At 60.0% G+C, this 22,233-nt stretch overlaps 1 protein-coding gene and 1 long non-coding RNA gene across 7 annotated transcripts in view, besides 1 other annotated feature; one reads left to right on the top strand and one right to left on the bottom strand.

Moving 5' to 3' along the window:
- The window catches only part of KCNQ1 (potassium voltage-gated channel subfamily Q member 1), a 404,098-nt gene extending 394,900 nt beyond the window's left edge, over positions 1-9,198 (top strand). For all 6 annotated transcript variants that reach the window (NM_001406837.1, NM_000218.3, NM_001406836.1 and 3 more), the window contains one exon: positions 7,860-9,198. In NM_001406837.1, the coding sequence (NP_001393766.1) occupies positions 7,860-8,096 (237 nt within the window). In that variant the 3' untranslated portion in view covers positions 8,097-9,198. The remainder of the gene's footprint in view (positions 1-7,859) is intronic.
- On the bottom strand, positions 228-21,662 carry KCNQ1-AS1 (KCNQ1 antisense RNA 1). Its single transcript, NR_130721.1, has 3 exons — positions 21,083-21,662; positions 18,836-19,032; positions 228-535 (listed from the first exon to the last, which is right to left on the bottom strand). It is a non-coding gene; the product is annotated as a KCNQ1 antisense RNA 1 (long non-coding RNA).
- Positions 17,842-18,823: an enhancer, noted in NCBI's record as "H3K4me1 hESC enhancer chr11:2878979-2879960 (GRCh37/hg19 assembly coordinates)". NCBI's record gives its function as "activates a minimal SCP1, AML or CMV promoter by ChIP-STARR-seq in naive H9 embryonic stem cells {active_cell/tissue: H9 hESC(naive)}" and the evidence as "EXISTENCE:reporter gene assay evidence [ECO:0000049][PMID:30033119]".
- Positions 21,663-22,233: the final 571 nt, after the last annotated feature.

Here is a 22,233-nt window from a genome sequence, read left to right on the forward strand (position 1 = left end):
AGTATCAAAGCATGTACAAGAGCGGTCTCTAGGGCAGTTCTGCGTAGACGCCAAAGTACAGGAAGACGTGCAGGAACTTTGTGCCGTCGACCCTTGAACAATGCAGGGTTGGGGCACCGACCCCCGAACTGCCCAGTCAAAAACCCATGTATAACTTTTGACTCCCCAGAAACTTCACTAATAGCCTCCTGTTGACTGGAGGCCCTACCAATAACATAAACAATCAATTAACACATTTTGTATGCTTCATGTATTACAATAAAGTAAAGTAAGGAAGAGAAAAGATATTCATTCAGCATAAGCAGATCATTGTAAAGGTCTTCATCCTCGTCATCTTCACGTTGAGTCAGCTGGGGAGGAGGAGGGGTGGCTCTTACTGTCTCGGGTGACAGAGGAGGAAGAAAATCCACGTAGAAGTGCACCCACACGGCTCAAACTTGGGTTGTTCAGGGTCGATGATACACAAAAAGGACATTCTAATCCAGTGGGGAAAAGGTCCATCATTCCATAAGTGGTGGGGTATCAGCAGGATAACCTGCAAAAGTAAGTCTGTAGGTCAGAAATCAATCCCAGGCGATTCAAAGATTTAGGGGGTAAAACACAAATCAAAAAAGTATTAGGAAAAAAGATTTTGGCGTTGGAATGGAGGAGGCCCTTCCAAGCACGCACAGGATGAGAAGGCATAAAGGAAAAGATGGATGGCTTTGACCACGTGAAAAAGTGAAAACATAAGTAAGACCTCTGTGTGGCAAAACAAAAAAATAATAAATGCCATAAACCCATACACGAGACAAATAGCACACTAGGGAAAAACATGTGTGATGTGTACTTGACATCTTTCTTAACATAGAGTCCTTACAAATCAATGAACGTGAAAAGGCCCAGTCCCAGCCTCAGCTTCTCTGCTCAGCACCCACCCTGGGAGGGAGTGGGCTTGGGGGGCTTCTACCCCCTCACTCCAGCCTTGGGGCCCCGGGAAATTGGCCGGGGCCTCACTTACTAATTCAACAAACATTTGTGCAGCGCCAACTCTACCCTCCATGTATTTACTGGGCACCTTCTAGGCTCCAGGCTCCAGGCTCTGGGAGACTGTCTAGGGTTAAGACGGTGACTGCCTGGCCTAGAGCTGGGCCTCCAGCTGGTGGCAAAACACCAAGCAAGGAGATCAATAAACCGGGACATTTCAGGGAGTGGTGAAGGCTTACAGGAACATGGGGAGAGATGAGACGAGGAGGCCGCCCAGGATTTTGAGCTAAGGTTACAAAGCAGCAGAGGACAGCGGGTGCAAAGGCCCCAGGGCCCAACTGAGATGGGCGCTCAGATCAACACGGGCATGCTCAGTGCCGGAGAGGGGCCAGCGGAGCCTCTGGGGGCACTGCAAAAGGAGACTGGATTTTACTCCCAGTCCAGTGGGAATTCTGCAGAAGGATTTGGCCCAGGCTGGGAGGGAAGGCTCAGCCTGGCTGTTGCCTGGAACAAGCGGGGAACAGGTTGGGGGCATAGCCAGGCAGTGAGGTGGTTGTGACAGTCCAGGCAGAAGATGCTGCCAGCCTGGGCAAGGGGCATGGGGGGCAGGCTCAGAGCACATGCTCCAGACCAGAGAGCCACAGACACCAGGTGCACACCAGGGACCCTGGGTAGTTGGTCGTGCCCTGTGGATACAGGATTCGGGCCGGCTTGGGAGGAATCTGAGCTCCCGCTGGGACACGCTGAGCTGTGGGGCTGTTGGCCTGCAGGCCTTGGAGCCCCTGGAGAGAGCAAGTAGCTGACGGGGACATCCTAGCTAGCCGAGGTCCCAGGAAGGGAACGAGGGTCGTGTGGTGACGATCTTGAGATATTCCCCCACAGTCGTCAGCCAGGGACATGGCGCCCCTGAGGCCCTTGGGGGGCCAAGCATCCGTCAGTGGGCAGAGGCTGGTAAAAGTGGATGTCAGCAGCAGGGGGAAGGGTCTTTCTTTCACCATCTTGGGCCTCTCTCAGAGGGAGGCAACCCCGCTCCTGGGGGGTGGTCAGTGAGGGCCAGCCAGGCAGCGGCAGCCCCAGGAAGGGTGTTGGGGTGGAGCTGACCAGGCCTCTGCCGCATGGTTGCGCTGTGCCGAGGACCCGCTGAGGACATAACCGACCATGAGCGGTGTGGGTCCCCAGCCGCGGCAGAGCTTCCTCTGGCTGCTCGGCAGACAACAGACACCAGGGACAGAGACAAGGTTGAGGATTTGGTCTGCAGCCTCTGAGCGGACACACTCACCCTCAGTGCCTGCCAATTCAGCCCCACCACAGGCGCCAGTCCCGAGCCTGAGCACAGGGGCTGCCACGACGCTCGACTCTCTGGGCCAAGACTCACACACAGCCTGGACACTGCCCGGGTGAAGGGCTCTGGGGGACAGGGGGAGCAGCTGGTATGTGTGTGACCATGGGTCCCAGACTCAGTGCCATCTGTCTCCCCATTAGGAGAGGACGCCTGGTACCTGCCCAAGCACCCAAGCCATGGGAGTTGCTGCTTGCTCTCCACGCAGCTTTGTCCCAGCAGCACCCCCAACTCCTGTGATGGGTTGCAGGGGGTGCTCACCTCTGTGGCACACACAAAGGCCCAGGGGCCTGGGGGTGCAGGCAGGTGCACTCCAACCCTTGGGCAGCCCAGAGAACAACCTAATGGAAAGTGAAGGGAATTGTACAAGTGTGTACAAGGGTGCAGGGTGGTTCCTGCCTTCTTGCACGCACAGTCTCCCACACTCATACAGCCACAGGTTCGTACGAGGTACACATATGTGGGCTCACCTAGCATGCCTCCCGTGTGCACAGCAGTGCTCCTTTGGCCTCAGGCCACAGGCATACATGTGCAACTGTACGTGCACTCTAGGAATCCCTAATGATCATGGCCATCGGGTGGCTCGCAGTGCACTGAGCACCATGCTCTGTCCCTGGTGTCTTCATGCCTCAGTCCACTTGATCCCCTCAGCATCCTCCTGGGGAAGGTGCTACAGCTGCCCTGTTTTATAGGCAGGGAAACTGAGGTTCAGAGAAGCAAAGTGACTTGCCCAAGGTCACCCGGCCAGGAAGCGGCAGAGGCAGGATCTGACCCCAGACCCGCTGCGGCACACACACGCCTGCCTGCACGCTCCCGTGAGGAGGTGCTTTGTGCCCAAGGCCCTGCAGCAGTGTGGGGGGTTCTGAGGCCATCTCCCACTGGCCACAGCACAGCAAGCTCCAGCAGGGCAGCTGCCCCAAGGCCTGGCGGTAAAACCTCAGCAGCGAGAAACACGGTCGACTTTTGTCCAAGAACTGAAGCACTAAAGCAAAGTCAAACACAATCGCTCCATGCCCTGCCACGAACCGCGACCTTACCACGTGCTGTGACCTATTGCCACTTGTGCCCAGCTCCACACAGGAGCCGGGTCTGACATCCGATTGCTCAGAGCCTGGTATGAAACATTCTAGGTACCGCCCTGAGAGTGGCTTAGTAACTGCTGGTTCCTCAGGACAGACAGGAGGAAGGCCAAGGTGACCTTTGCCCTGCGACCCTACAGAGGGCCCTGGGGAGGCCCTGCCTGGTCTTTAGACACTGCCCAACAAGGATGCTAGAAGGGGCAGTGAGTTTTCTGCCTCCTGGGGAACTGCAGCCCAGGCAGAGAACAGGACCCCCACCCTGGGAGCAGCGGGTGTGCCCGGCCTCTCCCGCCTGTCCCTGGCCAGTCTGCCATCCACGAGGCCAGGGCCTTTGGCGGTCCTAGGCGGGGATCAAGGCCGGGCAGGTTCTGCAAAAATTTCCCTTGAAAGACTCTTTTTCAAGATTTTCTTTTGAAAACAAATTCATAACCACATCAAACAGGAATCCCCGTTGCCTTGGGTTTGATCGCCGGCCGCCCGGGGCTCTCTAACTAGCTGTTATTCTAATTGCTTTTTTCTCTTCCGAGGGCTGCATAGGTCTCTTATGGTTATTAATTTGGTGAGTGCAGGCCGGGCACAAAGCAGCTTTTGTCTGCCTTGCCTTTTAATCACTATCAAATTGCAAATAATGGTGGAGGCTGAGATCCCCAAAATTGATCTGTCCCAGCAGTTCTTGGGGAACCGGCCCCAGTGCCTAGAGCATGCACTGCCTTCCCCCAGGGCGGCAGCTCCCCGATGGCACCTGCCCGGATGCACCTCCGCATGGGTGGGGTCTGGCCTCGGCCATGGGAGGTGCTTCTCAGGCTCCTCCATCGCCAAAAAAAACCAAACGTGCCAGCGAGATGAAGGCGCCCTGCCCGCAGAGTGGTGGGGTGGGACTCTTCAGGGACACGTGCTGTGACAAGTGCTTGAGTCAGAGCTAAGACTCTGGGGCTGCCGAGGAGCCACCTGTAGCCCAGGCCTGGGCCCTTCCCACAAGGGGGGCAGCAGCATGATGCATCAGACTGTGGACCCGCCCTGGGCATCCAGCCCACATCCTGGCCCACCCCCGGGGCCTCTGTCACCAGCAGCTGGGATGATGAGAGCATGTCTCTGGGGCCAGAGACCCTAGCCAGTCCCTCAAAGCCCCAGTTGGCACAGGCAGCAGTTGAGGTGAGCCTGGGACCAGCCAGAGCCAGGCATGGGCTGACGCTGGCCCAGGCAGCTTCAGGGAGCCCTTCAGTGTCCGTCGGAGGCAAGCTCGGCCCTGTGGCTGCCTCCCGACCCCAAAGGTGGCTGAGTGCCTCTCTACACGGTGCCGGGACTCCCTGCCGGGAGGAGCTGTCACCAAAGTGGCTCAGGACTGAGCGCTGATTCCAGCCACACCCTCAGCCTGCACTGCCTGCCTGCGGCCCTGACACCCACTGTCTCTTTCTGTCCCAAGAATCCCCTGTGAAGGCCTCCACACCCATTAGCACATGTGGGACTTGGACAGATGTTCGAGTGCCATAATGTGAAAATTTATGAAACCACAAATGTTCATCTGTGATGTATTTGGTGCTTTAATTAATGCCAAACCAATTGATACCCAAGCTGGGGCCTGCACAGTTAGTGACAGTAAGCCACGCGGGGCAAACCTCGTTCCACACTACCAGTATGCGGGGCCCAGGGAGCTGAGGTGAGCCCTAGGACACAAGCCCAGGCTTTGCCCTCAAAGACCCACGCTGGCTGCACCTTTGATCTGCTACGCTCTCGTAGGTCTCTGGGCCTCAGTTTCCTCATGTGCACCCTGAAGGCTGAGAGACCTCCCATGACCCCTACCAGGCATGAGCAGGTCGTGGGACTGAGAGGGCTGGTCCTGCCGGCAGCAGGAGCCACGGGGGTCAGGGTGTGGCTGAACAAGAACGAGACCTCAGGCCGGTCCCCCTCCCAGAGGCCCCGCCCCACCCTGCCCTCTGCTTTCGCCGGCTCCCTACCTGACACACTGTGTCCCCCCATATGGCAGCTCCGTGGTCTCGAGATGGAGCCTTGGGGTGGGAGCTGTGGGGACAGGATGGGAGACATGGCACTTTCAGCCAGTGACTCTGACCCTCTTTTCCTGGGCCTCAGTGTCTGCATCTGTGGGATGGAGTGTGGGCCTCTGTGGCTCGTCCCCAAGTGGCTTTGCAGAGCACTGAAGTGCTGGCGGGTCCTTGGGTGTGAGAGACCCCGGTGGATGGCCCTGGGCCCCTGCCCCTGCCAAACCACAGAAGTCCTGCACCCCTTTCCTCCATAGTCTGGGCCTCACATCAGGTTTATCTGGGAAAAATAAAACATGGGGCTCCCTCTGGCCTGGACCGTCAGACCTCGGATGTACACCTGCCCTTGTGTTCAGGACAGTTGGGTCTCAGACTCACCCCATACCTGCAAGGCAGAACCACAGGGGAGCCAGGGAGCCTCCACACTGCAGCCCCCACCACCCAGGGCTGGAAGTGGGTCCCCTGGGCTCCTGCTCTGGGCAGGGCACAGTCCCACCCTCCCAGGTGGAGGCTGCCCACCTAGCCCTCTAGACAGACGCTCGGCCCCACTCAGGCAGGCGCCCCCCTCTCATCTCAGCCTCTCACAGCACCCTGTTGGCCGCCTCTTCCTTAGCCTGCTCAGCCTCCGTGGTAGGTGCTGTGGGTGACGACCACAGCACCCAGCCTTTGAAGCTGGCCCGGGTCCACCCAGACCCTAGCAAACTGGTTGCTCCCTCTCTGGCCATCCCGGGGCTTGTGCCCACGTCACCCAGCAGCATCTTCCCTGGGGTTGTCTCACCCGCACAGAACCCAGCCCTGGCCCACACCTCACCCCAAGCCTATCCGGCTGGATCAGCAGTGGGGCCGGGCGCATGAGGGACCAGGCCCGCCCGGCGCAGCCTAGGGTGCAGACCCCTGGAGTGCACGGCCAGGTGGACCGGGCCAGCTCCCGCCTGCTGCCTGTGCTTAGGGCCAGTGGTTGACGTTGCTGTGGCTGAGTCATCTTCGTGCCTCTCTCTGGAGCCATACGTTTCCCTGAAGCAGCTCTGCTGTTCAGCCCTTATCGCGTGCTGATCTGTTTGCCCCTCCCCCACCACTTCTAGGTCTTTCCAGGCCTCCAGGTACCCACGGTGGGGGAGGGTCTACTTCATTCTCCACAGAGCACGCTGAGGGGCTCTCCTGCAAGAACACCGCAGGCTGAAGGACCAGCCCTGTCTCCTGTGGCCACCAACAGAGCTGTGCGCCCTCCCCGAACCCTCACTCATGCTAGGGCCCCCAGGTCCAACCTCCTAGGGAGAGGGGTCCCCAACCTGGACTCCCTCACCTGCCCTAGTCTGCCCCTGGGGTTGGCCCTGCTCCACCCAGCACCTGCTCTGAGGGTGCCAGGGTGCCGGCCTGCCGGCCAGGGCCTTCCAGTCTCCCCATCAAGGCTGGATGGCCACTTCCCACCCGGGGCGGGCTCCAGCCTCATTCCCCAGCGGTGCTGTCCTTCCAAGGAGCTCTCAGATCACCTGGCTGTCCACTCGTTTGGGGCTTCTCTGCTGCCTCCGCAGCACTGCGAGGCCTCTGATCACCTACTCTCTGTGCTGGGTGCATTTCGGGTTCTGTCCTGCCTTGACCTCCCTGCCAGCTTTGCAGGGCAGCCACCCTGGCACATAGCTCACTGCAGAACCAGCCCCTGAGAAGGTGGAGGCCACATGGCTAGCCAGAGGGCACGCTCTAGGGCACTGCTCTGACCACAGAATGTGGGTGCAGATGGTGTCTGGGAAAATAGTGGTGTCCCCGCTAGGTTAAAGACATGGCATAATGGTTCCTGGGGGATGACAAAAAAACCCACCCCCACCCCCTTGCAGAAAGCATCACAGAGGCACAAGCCCTGTGCCCTGCAAGCCCCTCCTGGAAGTGGCCCAGCAGGGGCATCCCCTGCACACCCAGGCAAAGCCCAAGCCCTCTGCCTCCTCAACCACCCCAGGCCCTGCCCATGAGCCAGCCTTGCTGAACTCTGCCCTCTGTCCAGTTCTCCTCCAGACACAGTAGACATAGCCCCCAGCCTTTCTTGACCCTTAACCCAAATGTCCCCAAGCCTGGCCTCAAGAAGCCAAAGGCTGCCGCAAACCCAAATATTTCAGGTCCGGGTCCCTGGTGCAGACCCTGCCATGCGGGGATGTGGCACAGAAGGCCGGCCAGCCTGGGGAGCAGAGAAGGAGGAGAGGAGAGCTCCTGGCCCTGAGCCTGAATGCCTGTGGACACATATAGGGACTCCCAGCACGCACGGGATGGACTCCAATCGGCACACATGCACATTCCTTGCACACACACAGGCGCGACCGAGGGCCTTGCAGACATAGGGTGCACACGTGCGTGCCGCCTGCATACAGCATGCACTTGCAGAGACGGTTGGCACCTTCCCTTCTCTGGCCCCAAACCTGGGCCCTGAGGCTGTCTGCACACCTGGGTGCTTCCCACCACTGACTCTCTCGTCTGCCTTTGTCCCCGCAGGTGACGCAGCTGGACCAGAGGCTGGCACTCATCACCGACATGCTTCACCAGCTGCTCTCCTTGCACGGTGGCAGCACCCCCGGCAGCGGCGGCCCCCCCAGAGAGGGCGGGGCCCACATCACCCAGCCCTGCGGCAGTGGCGGCTCCGTCGACCCTGAGCTCTTCCTGCCCAGCAACACCCTGCCCACCTACGAGCAGCTGACCGTGCCCAGGAGGGGCCCCGATGAGGGGTCCTGAGGAGGGGATGGGGCTGGGGGATGGGCCTGAGTGAGAGGGGAGGCCAAGAGTGGCCCCACCTGGCCCTCTCTGAAGGAGGCCACCTCCTAAAAGGCCCAGAGAGAAGAGCCCCACTCTCAGAGGCCCCAATACCCCATGGACCATGCTGTCTGGCACAGCCTGCACTTGGGGGCTCAGCAAGGCCACCTCTTCCTGGCCGGTGTGGGGGCCCCGTCTCAGGTCTGAGTTGTTACCCCAAGCGCCCTGGCCCCCACATGGTGATGTTGACATCACTGGCATGGTGGTTGGGACCCAGTGGCAGGGCACAGGGCCTGGCCCATGTATGGCCAGGAAGTAGCACAGGCTGAGTGCAGGCCCACCCTGCTTGGCCCAGGGGGCTTCCTGAGGGGAGACAGAGCAACCCCTGGACCCCAGCCTCAAATCCAGGACCCTGCCAGGCACAGGCAGGGCAGGACCAGCCCACGCTGACTACAGGGCCGCCGGCAATAAAAGCCCAGGAGCCCATTTGGAGGGCCTGGGCCTGGCTCCCTCACTCTCAGGAAATGCTGACCCATGGGCAGGAGACTGTGGAGACTGCTCCTGAGCCCCCAGCTTCCAGCAGGAGGGACAGTCTCACCATTTCCCCAGGGCACGTGGTTGAGTGGGGGGAACGCCCACTTCCCTGGGTTAGACTGCCAGCTCTTCCTAGCTGGAGAGGAGCCCTGCCTCTCCGCCCCTGAGCCCACTGTGCGTGGGGCTCCCGCCTCCAACCCCTCGCCCAGTCCCAGCAGCCAGCCAAACACACAGAAGGGGACTGCCACCTCCCCTTGCCAGCTGCTGAGCCGCAGAGAAGTGACGGTTCCTACACAGGACAGGGGTTCCTTCTGGGCATTACATCGCATAGAAATCAATAATTTGTGGTGATTTGGATCTGTGTTTTAATGAGTTTCACAGTGTGATTTTGATTATTAATTGTGCAAGCTTTTCCTAATAAACGTGGAGAATCACAGGCTGGGCTGGGCACTGCTCTCACCTTGGTTCCTGGGGCATCCATGGGGTCTCTCACAGACAGGACCCCTGCAGTTCCCCTGGAAGCAGTGCCCAGGTGGCTGTGGAATAGGAACGCTATGTCCGTGTACTGAGGAGTAGGTCAGGGTTCAGAGGGGCTGCAAGATGCCATCGAAGGCTCTAGCTTAGCGACGTCGCTCCTGTTCTGGGCCCTGGGCTGGCCCTGGCCATGAAGTGCAGTCACAGTGTGGTCACTGCCTGTCTTCCAGCAGACTCTATGCCCTTGCGGCAGATGGGCTCTGTCTGGGCCTCTCTGTCTGCCCCTCCCAGGCCAGGGTGGCCCTTCATCAAGGACCCACATGCTCCACTCTGGGAGCAGGCCCCACCCAGGCCCATTCCCCAGGATGCCAAGGGCTAAACTCTGGAGGGGTTGTGGTGCAAGGAAGGCCTGGGGCCCCTGAGGCTCCCATATGCTCACCCCTGGCCTCCTCCGGGCCTCTATTTCCCCATTGGTAACACGATGCTCCCTTAGCCTGTCCAGTTCTCTGAGTGGGACAGAGGGGCCACCACCCTGCTCGCCCTGACCCTGTTCCTGCAGCTTTCTGTGAGGCCCGCCTCTCCTAAGGTGGAAAGAGTGCCTCACTCTCGGCACAGACACACTCAACCGGGGCAGGTGCATCTGCTGTGCCCCCACCTCAGCTATTGGACCGTTTCTCAGTCCTTCAGGACTGCAGCCGCCTTCTGTCCTCTTTCCAGAGCCCATCCCGAAGTCTCAGGATATGAGGGCTTGGGGCATCTGAGATATCAAGGATGGGGCTGTCCTGAGTCCACTGGGGGCAGGAGGCGGCCAGCAGCAGGTGGCAGGGACAGGGGCCCCAGGTTTCTGTGTGGAGTAGGGGTGGAAGCCCTTGTTAGAGGGAAAGGCCCTGGGTCCCACCTGGTGCCAAGCCCACTGGGCCCGTGCCCCCAACCCATGGGTCTTGGCATCTGGCCTGGCCAGCACTGACCGGGATGGACGAGGTGGAGGGGCAGCACGGGGCTTCCCAGGCTTCCCTGGCCTGCACCCCTCCGGGAGGAGCGGGAGCAGCAGTTACTGAAAGGCAGGAACTGTTGTTTCCTTGTTGGGTAAATATTTGTGGAAACCCGGGGATGCCGGCCGGAAAGCAGGGCCCTCCACAGCGCCCAGGCCCCCCAGCCCCGGCCGCCCACCCCGGGACCCTGGCCCACAGGGAGCTCCGTGGGGCCGCCCATCTGGGCCGGGCGCGGCCCCGGCACCCAGCCCGCCTTGTTGTCCATATTATGGACTGCGCACAAAGTGCCCGAGGACTCCTCTCCTGGACGGGCCATTGCAGCCCTCTCGGGTGTGAAATGCAATTTACCTGAAATAAAGCCCAATTATGGAATTAGCTAATTAAAGCCATGGCGGAGGCTGGGCCTGGCCGGCCGAGTGCTCAATGCCCGCCGGTGCCCGTGGACTGAGGGAACAGATGGCGCCTCGGCCCGCCGTGCCGGCCGCATTCCTTCACTCTGTCCCCCGATAAGTGACCTAGACAGCACACGACCATCTGGTGTGTGGCACGTCCTGCGGGCCCCGGACAATGGCCCGGCAGACCTCTCTGCGAGAGGGCCGTCGCCCGGGCAACGGTGGCATGTGCAGCCCCGACCCATTCACGGCCCCTCCCGCAGCCCCTTTCTTCGGGCCCTTTGTGGCCTCACCGCGGCTGCCTGGCTGCTCTGGCTGAGGATAGCCATGAGTGTTTGTCCCCAGAGCCGGCCTTTGTCTCCAAATTGGGCTCCCTTATTGAGGTCCTCGGGGTCCAATGGGTGCCAGGAGCATCTGCTGGGGGTGACTGGGGGAGGGGCTGCTCCTGCTTCCTGGGGCACCCACCTCCTCTGCCAGGCTCTCCTCCCCCGTTGCCTGCCCCCAGATGTCCCCTCGTGGGTGCTGGGCGTGGCCATGGGGAAGCCCGTCTCTAGGGCTGGCACTGGCCAAGCCCGAGGTTCTCCCATCTTCGGGCCAGGGAGCCAGGAGGAGGAGGAGTCAAGGGCGGGGCCGACCTGCAGCCCCTCAGCTCCCACCCCAGTCCTGTCTGCGAAATGGGGAACAGTAAAAGTGCCCCCTAGAAGGGGCGTACGGGGCAGGGGCTTGATGGAGATGAGACATGTGAGCACACAGTAGGTGCTTAATAAAGGAAGCCAAACAAACCACCTGGGTGGGTGATACTGGGCTCTGCCTCCTTGCTGCTCTCCTGCCTGTTGCCTCGGAGCTCCTTTCTGAGGCCCCTCCTGCATCTAGCCTTACCCCACCAAGCTCCCTGCCCCTCGGTGCCAGGGAGAGCTGTCCAAACCCAAGCTGGCAGTTCCCCATCCTGCTCTCAAGCCAACCATGACTCCCCACTGCTGAGTGGGCCTGTGAGGCCCCACAGGCTGCAACCCTGCCACTCACCCTGGGCATCCCCCGCCATGAGCCCAGCTTCCCCATCCTCACCCTGTACTTGACGTCCAGCCCCCCTCCCTACTCAGGACCTCCTCTGAGCACCATCTTGGCAGGCAGTCCCCCACCAGCGTGGTGGTCAGGAGTCAGGCCCACCACTGGGAGAGGGGCTGTGCTGGGCCTTTGAGGCCCCAAAAAGGAGCCGGGGCTGGCAGTGCCTAGTACAAGCCTGGCCCCAGCTGGGTGCTCAGGAAGTGCCAGTTAAATTAAGGAATAAAATGAAAAGTTGGAAGGAGGCTGCCCAGTGCTGCATGTGCAGCAGAGGTACCAGGACCCAAGCAGGGCATCACCAGGCGTCCCTCCAATGGACAGGAGAGGGGTCCACACCCTGCGCCCTGAAGGAGGGATCAGGCCAGGTGTTTTGATCTGGGGCAGCCAGACAGCTGGGGGAAGGAGCAGGAAGGCAGACAAGAGCCAGGGCTCCTGGGGCCACCACACACAGCACCCCCATCTCCAGGGGATTTGCTGAGTCACCTGCAGGGATGAAGACTGCCCTTTCTCAACTATATCAAGTCCCTAATTTGGAGTGCCCATCTGAGCTGTGCCAAAGCCTGCTCCCCCCAGCACCCCAGCCTCCTCTCAGCACAGCCCTCCGGGCTCTAGGACCCAGGGGTTCCTTGCGAATCTTTTTTTTTTTTTTTTGAGACGGAGTCTCACTCTGTCTCTCAGGCTGGAGTGCAGTGGCACGATCTCAGCTCACTGCAAGCTCCGCCTCCCGCCATTCTCCTGCCTCAGCCTCCCGAGTAGCTGGGACTACAGGCGCCCACCACCACGCCCGGCTAATTTTTTTTTGTATTTTTAGTAGAGATGGGGTTTAACCATGTCAGCCAGGATGGCCTCGATCTCCTGACCTCGTGATCCGCCCGCCTCGGCCTCCCAAAGCGCTGGGATTACAGGCATGAGCCACCGCACCCGGCCTCCTTGGGGATCTTAAGCGTGTCTCAGCCTCACCATTCTCGGCCCCCAACTGCACCAACCCCGCTCTTGCCTCTGGCCCTATTCTTGTGGCCCTGGAGGGCCAGCTAGTTGGGAGATCAGGCCTGTGGCCTGTGTCCCAGCACCCTTCACCTTTCCTGTCCCCACCCAGGTCAGCCAGGGTCCCAGGCAGCCAGGCCTGGAGGATGCTTGGGGCAGCCAAAGCCAAACAGAGCTTCAGTTTCCACTGGCCTCTGAGTGCAGACAGCCGGGGCCAGGGCCCCCTGGAAGCTGACAGGTCCCACCCCGGCCCTTCCCAACTCCACTGTGGAGCCTTGGTGAGGAAGCCTAGAGGGCCCTCAGTCGGGCAGTGCAGGAGGGCTGGGGGCTGCCACCCCAGCCCAAGGCCTTAGAGGCCAAGGCCCCAGCCTGTCCCACCCAGGCACTGGCTGGGTAATAGGAGGCGGGGCATCCACTCTGCCCTCAAGATCCTTCTCCCTCAGTAGGTCCTGCTATGACCTCCTGGCCCTCCTCTTCAGCACCCCGTACCAGGCCTCCTACAACTCCCCTCCCCTGCAGCCCCCACAGCTCAAGGCACCTGAGTGAGGCAGAGCGTAAAGGAGATGGACAGCCTGGCCCAGGGCAGCCCTGCTGGACTCCAGGAGATGCTTGGGCCCGCTCCCCACTCTTCCTTCTAGACCCTCACCCATGGCTCCCAGAGGGGACGAGGCCGCCCTTAATTCCCAGAGCCAAGCCCAGCCCCACCGCCCACCTATCCCCAGGCTTGGGTTTCGCACACGTACAGGCAGCGAGCCCGAGGCCCAGGAAGACACAAGCCGGGCCCAGAGGTGGCCATGGATGGCTCAGTGGACAGAATCCATCCTGGTGCCTTCTGGGGCCTCAAACACACAGCTCCTTCCACTTCCCGGGAGTGGCCCCAAGGTGCAGGGGTGGGGGTGTCGAGATGGAGTCCAGGGCTTGTCACTTGGGCACAGTGATCCCCACCTGCATGACCCATGACCCTGGAAACCCCCCCCACCTTCTCCTCTCCCCACTGCCGGCCCCTCCACAACATTCCCCGTGACATGCTCCTTTCCAGCCTGCAGGACGCATGGGGTCTTTCTGTGGCATTGCAGCTGAGCAGCATCAGGGCAGGAGGTGCAGGCTCTGGGAACCAGGCTCACAGCTTCATCTCCCTCCTGGGCCTGCGCCCTGGGAAGCCGGTGGCAGCGGCAAACCCACGGAGAGGAGTTAACAGGTGCCCGAGGACAGAGAAGACTCATGCTGAGGGGAGAGACCCCAGAGCAAAAAGGCCTCAGAGCTCGTGAAGCCCCCCACCCGGTACAGACAGGGAGACCAAGGCTGGGGGAAGGCCGGGCCTGTGCTGCGCCTGTTTGTGTGACTTTGCATTGGAAAAGCCTCAGAGAAGAAATGGGGCTTCCACAGCAGAGAAGGTAGCTCAGCCAGGAAGCCAGAGGGCAGGAATGAACTGACTGGCTGAAAGCAAGAGCTGGCCTTGCCAGACCTTTGGCCAGAGAGGCCAGATCTGAGGAAGAGATGTTCAAAATTCCAGGGTGGTCTGAGCACAGCTCCTCTGCTGGCCCACACAGGCCAAGAAGCCACAAAGCACTGTGCCTGCCTGATACAGCCAAGGGTCAGGTGGGCCTTCAGAACACACCGACTGGCTCCAAGAAGGCTGCTGTTGCACCTGCCACACAGAAAATCTCAAACTTCCCAGTTAGATCCTCAAGAAACTCTGTTACAGCCTGACCGCAAATGTGATTCACCAAACCCCACTGAATGACTTTTGGTTGTTTCTTAACCACATCCCTCCCCTGGCCAATGCTGACACACAGCTACACACACCTGCACACACACACACCTTCACACATACCTACACACACACCTACCCTACAAACCTGCACACACAATACACATACTTACACACCTACACCCCTACACACACCTACACATACACCTACACACCTACACCCCTACACACCGACACCCCTACACACCGACACCCCTACACACCGACACCCCTACACACACACACATCTACACACCTACAACCCTACACACACACACACACACACATCTACACACCTACACCCCGACACCGCTACACACACACACATACCTACAACACAAGAAGTGCCTCCACTGTGTGTGTGGCACGAGGCAGTGGGAATGAAGGAAAAGCTGAAGCCAGAAGCCAGGGATCCCCTCATTCACAGCCTGGCTCAGCCCCTCTCTCAGGTGCCCTGGGGCAGGAGCCAGGCTTCTCTGAGTTTCAGTCGCTCACTGCAACCACAGCTCCACAGAACTGACCCCAGGATCCTCAGTGGAAGAGAAGATATTGCAAAAGCCGGCGCCAACGCAAGACCAAACAGCAATGACAGAGCTCACTGTGCTCAGGGAGAACCATGTACTGACGTCCTCTTCAGTCCAGCAACCTGGAGCTTTGACACACAAACAGCCCCTGAGACAGAGGTCTCCGCAGCAAATCCACCCACGGGACACTTCTGCCAGGCAGAGCCTGAGTCAGCACAGGTGACCAGAGAGGGAAGGGCCCCAAATGCCATCCAGTTCTCCCAGAACAGCCGAGGGAGGTCACAAGTGGCCCAGGTGCCATGGGGAAGAGTGGCCCCATAGCAAGGCCAGGATGCCGCTGGTGTCAGAAGCCCCCCGAGCACCCAGAGGGGCAGAGGATCTGTGGGAGGAGCCTTCAGGTGGGCACTCAGGGAGCACTCACCCCAACTGTGCCCCCAGCCACCCCAAGAAGGCCTGGCCGGAAGCATCTCTGCCAGGGACAATGGGAGCAATGGGCTAGAGGTGGACTGGCCAGGCTCTGGAAGAGGAGGCTCCAGCTGGGAGAGGCCACAACCCCGGGGTGGGGCCCCTCCAGGGCACTTGAGGGTGGAACTGTGCAGCCCCTGAGTGTTGATGGGCCTGGCCTGGGCCGACCCCAGAGACTCCAGCAGAGGCCCAGGGAGCTGGACCGTAGCATCGCCCAGGGAAAGGGCCCGTCCTGGGGGTGGGCAGGAGGCTGCTTGAGAAAGGCTTCTAAAGAGGGGTTGTCAGGATGGTGGTGAATGCCATTAAATAATTTCAAAGGGTCTTAATCAAATCCCCTCTCGGTCCACGAGATCATGTCAAAGGACTCTGGAGAGGAAAAGAGGGGCAGACACTTCCCGTGCGTCTTCCACTTGACTGGCTGGCCCTGCGGCGTGGGGGCCTGCGGGCTCTCGCTCCGCCTGTAACTCCGTTTTTGACCCCAGCCAAGCCTGTCTCCTCTCTGGGCCTCCACCTCATCCTTGGGGTGAACCCACACTGCCCAGTTCAGGGAGCAGGCACCACCTCAGAGGGGGTCTGCAAGGGAAATGTCTCATCTCACCGCTTTAGGAGGAGGCCTCAGCGGCATCTCCAAACCATCGACGCAGCTGCTGAGAACCACCACTTACAGAAGGGGAAATTGAGGCATAGAAGAGCCATAGGATGGGGAGGCTCTTTCACAGCTTCCAGAGCCTGAATTTCCTGGGAACTTGGGCCTGGTGCTTGACCGTGCATTGCCTTGGTTTCTCATCTATCAAACAGGCTGAGACCACATCCTACCTCACATGGTTAGGGTGGGCTGTGAGCCAGGCAACGCAGCACATGTGATAGGTGCTTCCAGAATGTTCTACGGTGACATCTCAAGCCCACGGTCCTCAATGGTCCTGTTGGGCTCCTTCAGAATCCCCCCAGATGCCCCACATCATCTGCCCTGGACTTTTTTTTTTTTTAGAGACAGGGTCTCAGTCTGTTACCCAGGCTGGAGTACAGTGGCCTGATCACAGCTCACTGCAGCCTTGATCTCCTAGGCTCAAGTGGTCCTCCCACCTCAGCCTCCCAAGAAGTGGGGACTACAGTACACCACCACGCCTGGCTAATTTTGCTTATTTTTTTGTAGAGACAGAGTCTTGCTGTGTCGCCCAGGCTGGTCTCAAACTCTTGGGCCCAAGTGATCCTCCCACCTCGGCCTTCCAAAGCACTGCAGGTATGAGCCACCGCTCCCAGCCGCCTTGGGAATTTTTTCAAAGTATAGACACAAAACCTTCGTATTGTGTGTTCCCAAATGTCCCACAGCCGTAGGCTGGACAAAGCAGGGCCATTCACCTCCACAAAACCTTCCTATTGTGTGTTCCCAAATGTCCCACAGCCGTAGGCTGGACAAAGCAGGGCCATTCACCCCCGCCACAGCCACACACCTCTCCCACCTGGGTAGTTAACCTGCAAGTGCTAAGGGCTCTGAAACCACACAGCAGCGGCCTGTGATCCGAATTGTTCTGCAGCTGTCTGTCCTCACCCATCTGATGCTATGGAACCCATCTGTGGAGACCTTCCTGTTCTCCTGACCTTCTGCAAAGAGTTTCTCAGACAGCTGTGACCTAACTGTGTCCAGCCTCCCTATGCAAATGGAAATTCACCCATTCTGGGTTGAGCTGAGATTCAAACTCACACCCAGCCACCCCACATGCACCCTAAGAGCCAAAATCACTCTCCCAGAGCTGTTCCCGGCCCCATCAAGCAGGTGCACGGGCAACAGTCCGGGCTCAGAAGCTGCCTCCTCTCGGGCTCCCAGGCCCGGCCACTCCTCTGACACCACTGGCTACGACCACTGTTCTGGGGCAAAGACAGCCAGGTGGGCATACCCAGGTTGGGGGCTGTGGATGGAACAAATGAACCAGTGAAAGCTGGGAACACTCCCAGGAAGAGGGCTTTGTGTGCCCCCAGCCCTGGTCTCACCCCTTCCCTGGCCCTGGGATGAGGAGAGTCACCCCACAGAGGCCTTCCAGTGCAAGTGCCAGCCGGGGCCCCTCATCGACTACCTGATGCTACCATGCCCCCAGCTGATGGGACAGAGATGAGGCCCTGGAAGCTCAGCCCTCGTCCAAGGGCACCCAGTGACCAACCGCACCCGCTGGACTTCAAACTTGGAGCTCTGTGCCACCAGGAAGCCCCCTCACCCCCACCACTGAAGGAGCTCGAGAAACGCCAGACTATGCTGCTTTGGGATGTAGACCACCTGGAGCTGCAGGCAGGAGAGGCGGCCGCCAGGGGCATCGGCCCAGAAGGCCCCTCACCTCCTCCGCTGAGGGCTGCCCAGAGGCAATGTGGGTCCCAGGGGACTTTTCATCTGCATCTGGAGACCACCGTCACTCATGCTCCCTCCCTGGCCCTCCCACGACTGGTGCAGCCCCCACCCCAGAAGCCCCAGCCCCTATTCCTCTCTGTGGTTGGGAGGACATATAAGCTTAAATCACCTTGCCCTTCTCTGGGTGTCACGCTTTGTGGCCTTCCCTCGTACGTACATAATGAAAATTATTTCTTTCCTTCTGCTAATCTGCTCAGTTTAACTCGTGGCCCAAAGAACAAGGGCGGGGGGCAAGACAATTTCACTCCCTGCACTACCAGGAGCACCTGTGCCTCCGGAGGAGCCAGCAGAGAGGGCCGGCCCCAGCCCTCATCTCAGCAGAAGCCAGGCTGCGCTAGGGAGCAGAGAGGCCAGTGGGGGTCAGTCCCCAGGCCCCTGGTGCCACGAACACACTCCTCCCTCCCTCCCCCATGGCCCCCCTGCCACCATCCTTGAGGTGAAGCAGGCAGAACTGTGTCCCGAAAACGCTCCACAGCCCCCGCGTGTGTCCAGGTGGCTTCAGTTACCCGGCGCCTGGCTGGCCCAGCCTGCAGAGAGCCCTGCCAAGGCCTGGCACCGCTGTCCCGAGCGGCCCCTCTTGCCGCCAGCGAGCCCAAGAGGCCTCAGGGCACAGGCAGACTGCTTTCCCCTACGCGGACTGGCCCCTGCTCCCCAGGAAAAGGCTTCATTGTCTCCCACCCCCCGGCCACCGCCTGGCTCAGGAGACACGGGGGCTCCAAGCTGCGAGGTCACCCGGCCTTGCAGAATCCACCTGCAGCCGCACCAGTCCAGGAAACCAAATCCCAGCGGCAGATGACAGCCGAGGGTGGCAGGACAGAGTGCCCATTCAGCCTCCGCTGGAGCCGGCCTGGCCTGACCTGGCGGCCGCCTCCCCTACCTGGGCCCTCTGGTGCCTGAGCCCAGGCCTCACTTAGCCTCTGCTGACCAGAGAGAGGGCTGGGACGTGCCCCACCCTGGGGCACCCACAAGTGTGAGGATGGCTGGTGAAGGTGGCAGAGACCCTGCCCCACAACCAGGGCCTCCTGCAGCCCAGAGTGGGCTCAAGGGAGTCTCCAAGCCAAGCATTAACAGGGATCTCCTTTGAACTTGCCAAGCATTGCTGCCCCATCTTACGTATGAGGAGCCTGAGGCTGGGAACCAACTCACCTTTCAGCTGGGTGCAGCCAAGCTGGAGCCTCGCTGACTCAGGGGTCCCTCCTCAGTGAGCAGATGGAGAAGGTGGCCTGGAAAGGGCCCCAGGCTGCACAGCAGCCTGTTGTAGGGAAGAGGAGACGGGCCAAGGCATGGGGACACATGGACCCATTTCACAGACAGGCAGCTGAGGTGGCAGCCTCGGCAGCAAGCTGACAAGAAGACACCAGGACAGCCCTTGCGTGAGTTGCATCGAAGACAGGAGACCCGCCCACCCTCCCCTCCTTACCATCCTGCAGGACCTGAGACCACCAGCCATAGCTGGTCCCTCATCGCCTCCCCCTATCCCCAGCCCTGGCCTCTGCATTTGGGCAAAGGCTATGGAGGAAGAGGCTTTGGCTTTTTGGCCCTGGCTTCAGCCAAATCCCCCAAGCACCTCGTGGAGGAGAATGGCTGCACCTGGGAGCCACGTGGGCTCCATGGAGGCCCTAAAGAGACCAGGCCTCAGCCCCAGGTGAGGCTTAATACCCCCTCTCCAGGCAGAAAGTAACCATTTCTTTTCCAGTGGTTCTCCAGCTTAGGGTCTCCAGCCAGACTGGCCGCTTATGGGCCAGGTGTAAAGAGAGGGACAGAGGGGGCAGGGAAGTGCGAGTGTTCTCAGGCCACTGGGGCCCGTCCCCACCCACACCCAGTCATCAGCCCCAGGGACAGCCAGGCCCTCCGCAGTGCAGGGTACACCCCGATTCTGCAGCCGGGCCCCAGGGCCCAGTGCTTCCTCCAGGCTGCCCCGGGCTCCCTCCTGAGTGGCAGGCCCAGGCCCGGACTCTGGCCCCAACCCGCAGGCTCAGAGGCAGCCCTGCCTTCCACAGACCAGGCCACGAGTTGCCTGTCACTCAGCTCTTCTGCCTGGTTGGTCACACTGAAAAGAGCATCCCGTGGCTGGGAGGCATGGATATCAGCTCCAACTCGGCTCAGGAAGCAAGAGCTGGAAACCCAGGCGCAGGAGGCATCTTCAGGCCCGGCGCATGCTGTGGCAGCTGCCCCAGGTCCTCCCAAACGCCACCTGCCAAACTGGCCCTCCTCCCCATCTGGGTTTAGCAAACTCCTACTCATCCTCCAAAGCCCAGAGCGAAAGGGCTCCTCTTCCATGATGCTCCTCTTCCAAAAGCAGCCCAGGGTCTCCCCTACGGCACTCAGCACCCACCGCAGACACTGTCTGTGTCCTTGAAGCTGATCTCCCTGCCAGACGGGCAGCGGCCCTCGAGGGCATTGCAAATGGGATGCCTGACAAGAACAACCCTTGAGGATTAGGAAATAGGGGTCTGCTGGAAGCCAATGCAGGCTGGATCTGAGACCTCCTGAAGACAAAGCGCAGGGAGCTGTGCTCATGCTCACACTGGGCATGGGGTTCACACTGTCTGCTGAGGGCTGCTTCCCTGTCCTGGAGGATGGGAAGGACAGAGGGGAAAGAGGGGCTCACCCACATCCTGCTCTCTGCACAGTGCCCCCTCCAGCGCCTGTCCACACAGACCAGCCGCACTGCAGTCCCTCAGAAGCCCTAGGGTTCCACCCCATCTATGCACCCTCTCCCTGGGTTCATGCCTGCTCCCCTGGGCCCACCCCACCCATGCGCCTACTCCCCCCACAGCCCACCCATCCCCAGAACCCTCCTTGCCCACATGCCACAGCAGTATACTTTTGAAGGCAACACTGAAGGTGGGGAGTTTCTGAAATCCTCTGTGCTTCCATCTCCTCTATGGGCGCACCCCAAGAGGTTGGGAGAGCGAGGTGCTGGTGCCCAGCCCAGCACAGATAGATGAGGCCACCGTCCAGTCTACTTCGTTTTTCCAGACATCTCACACCCATAACTGGCCTGAGGAACCTCATTCCAGCTTCCAAAGAACACGGAGTGCCAAGCACCACCACACCCCAGGCTCCACACCTCCCAGAACCCTTGTGGTAGGGGAAGGAGGGGGTTACTCTGCCCCATTTACCTAAGGGAAACTGTAAGGCCTGGATGGAGAAGTGCCCCCCCTCCAGCTCACACGGCTACCAGGCCAGAGACCTTTGCCCCACCACACATGTTGGCCCACAGATGAGGCGGTGAGTCATTCAGCCACATCACAGACGGGAGATCCCCTGCCCCTTGGGAGGAGCTGGAGTCCCCACACCTGGGATCCAGTGCCAGGCTTTAGCACGGACCCCTGTGTGCCCACACCCACCCTGTCTGAACCCCCCATTAAGGGACTCGTGTTTACACACCGGTCCCTGAGTCCCCGATTTCTGAGAAAATTAATTGGCAGGGTAATTCTCACTAGAGTGTTGTTGACTTCTCCATTTGTAGCTTGCTCTTTCTGACAGTATCTGCACTGCAGAGGGAGAACCTGAAGAAGACCTCACCTGAGCTCCGAGGTGTGGATTTCTGGGCAGATTTGAGACTTTGTGGCCCCTGCTAAGGGGATATAATTGAGGGTCCCCATAAATCATGACTCGGTCTATGAGGAACCAGCACCTAGCTGCATCCCCAGCCTCTTCCTTCTTCACACCCAAGCAAAACCCCAGGTTCCAGCCCCACCTAGCAGACTGAGGGCAGGCCATGGTCCCCCCTGCTCCATTCCAGACTCCACTCTGGCTTTTCTCCTTCAGGAAACCTCCTCATAACCCTCAGGCTGGGTCCGGGGCCCAGGCCCTACAGATGTGCTGGGTGCTGGTGCTGACAGACAGGACGGCAACCGTAGCTGGACCTCACCCTGGACAGCATCGCCACAACCCCCACTGGTCCACCTGGGAGAACAGAGACCCAGAGATAGCCACACACTGTCCTCTGTGCCCCTCATTGCCCCCCAGGCCTTTGGAGGTTCTGGGGGTGGCTACTGCAGTTTAATTTGGGCCACAACCCCTAATGAGCAGCCCAACGGCATGGGGGGCAGTTTGTAGGCACCCAGAGCCTGAGCAATGTGGCAGAAAGTCCAGGGGGCCTTCCAGGGGCCTCCAAGTGACCCAGGTATCTGGCAGAGCCCAGCTGGCCCCAGGGCTCCCAGTCCCGGCCTCCTGCTCCCCGGCCCATTGGCCCTGGCTGCAGCCTCAGTTGTACCAGCTGGGGAGTCCCAGATTTCCTGTACCACCACCCCACACACTTGGTCCCCTAAAGACCTGATACTGAGCTCTTGCTAATCATCTGGCTGTCACTAAGCTGCCCCACAACCATTTTCAAAGAGTCCCTGATTTTTAAGGCCCATAAAACACTGTGAAATGGCCTTTTTCAAACATTGAGGGCATTAATGACCATGGCAAAAACAAAAACCTGTCCAGGTGGCCAGTTTTTAGTAGCTCCCAATACAAAATTGCCCCCACCACGCAGCCCCCACCTGTCCACGCCCCCTCCACTTACCCACCCCGAGGGATTCTAGCCA

Source organism: Homo sapiens, chromosome 11, assembly GCF_000001405.40.
Source record: "Homo sapiens chromosome 11, GRCh38.p14 Primary Assembly".
Classification (NCBI taxonomy): domain Eukaryota; kingdom Metazoa; phylum Chordata; class Mammalia; order Primates; family Hominidae; genus Homo; species Homo sapiens.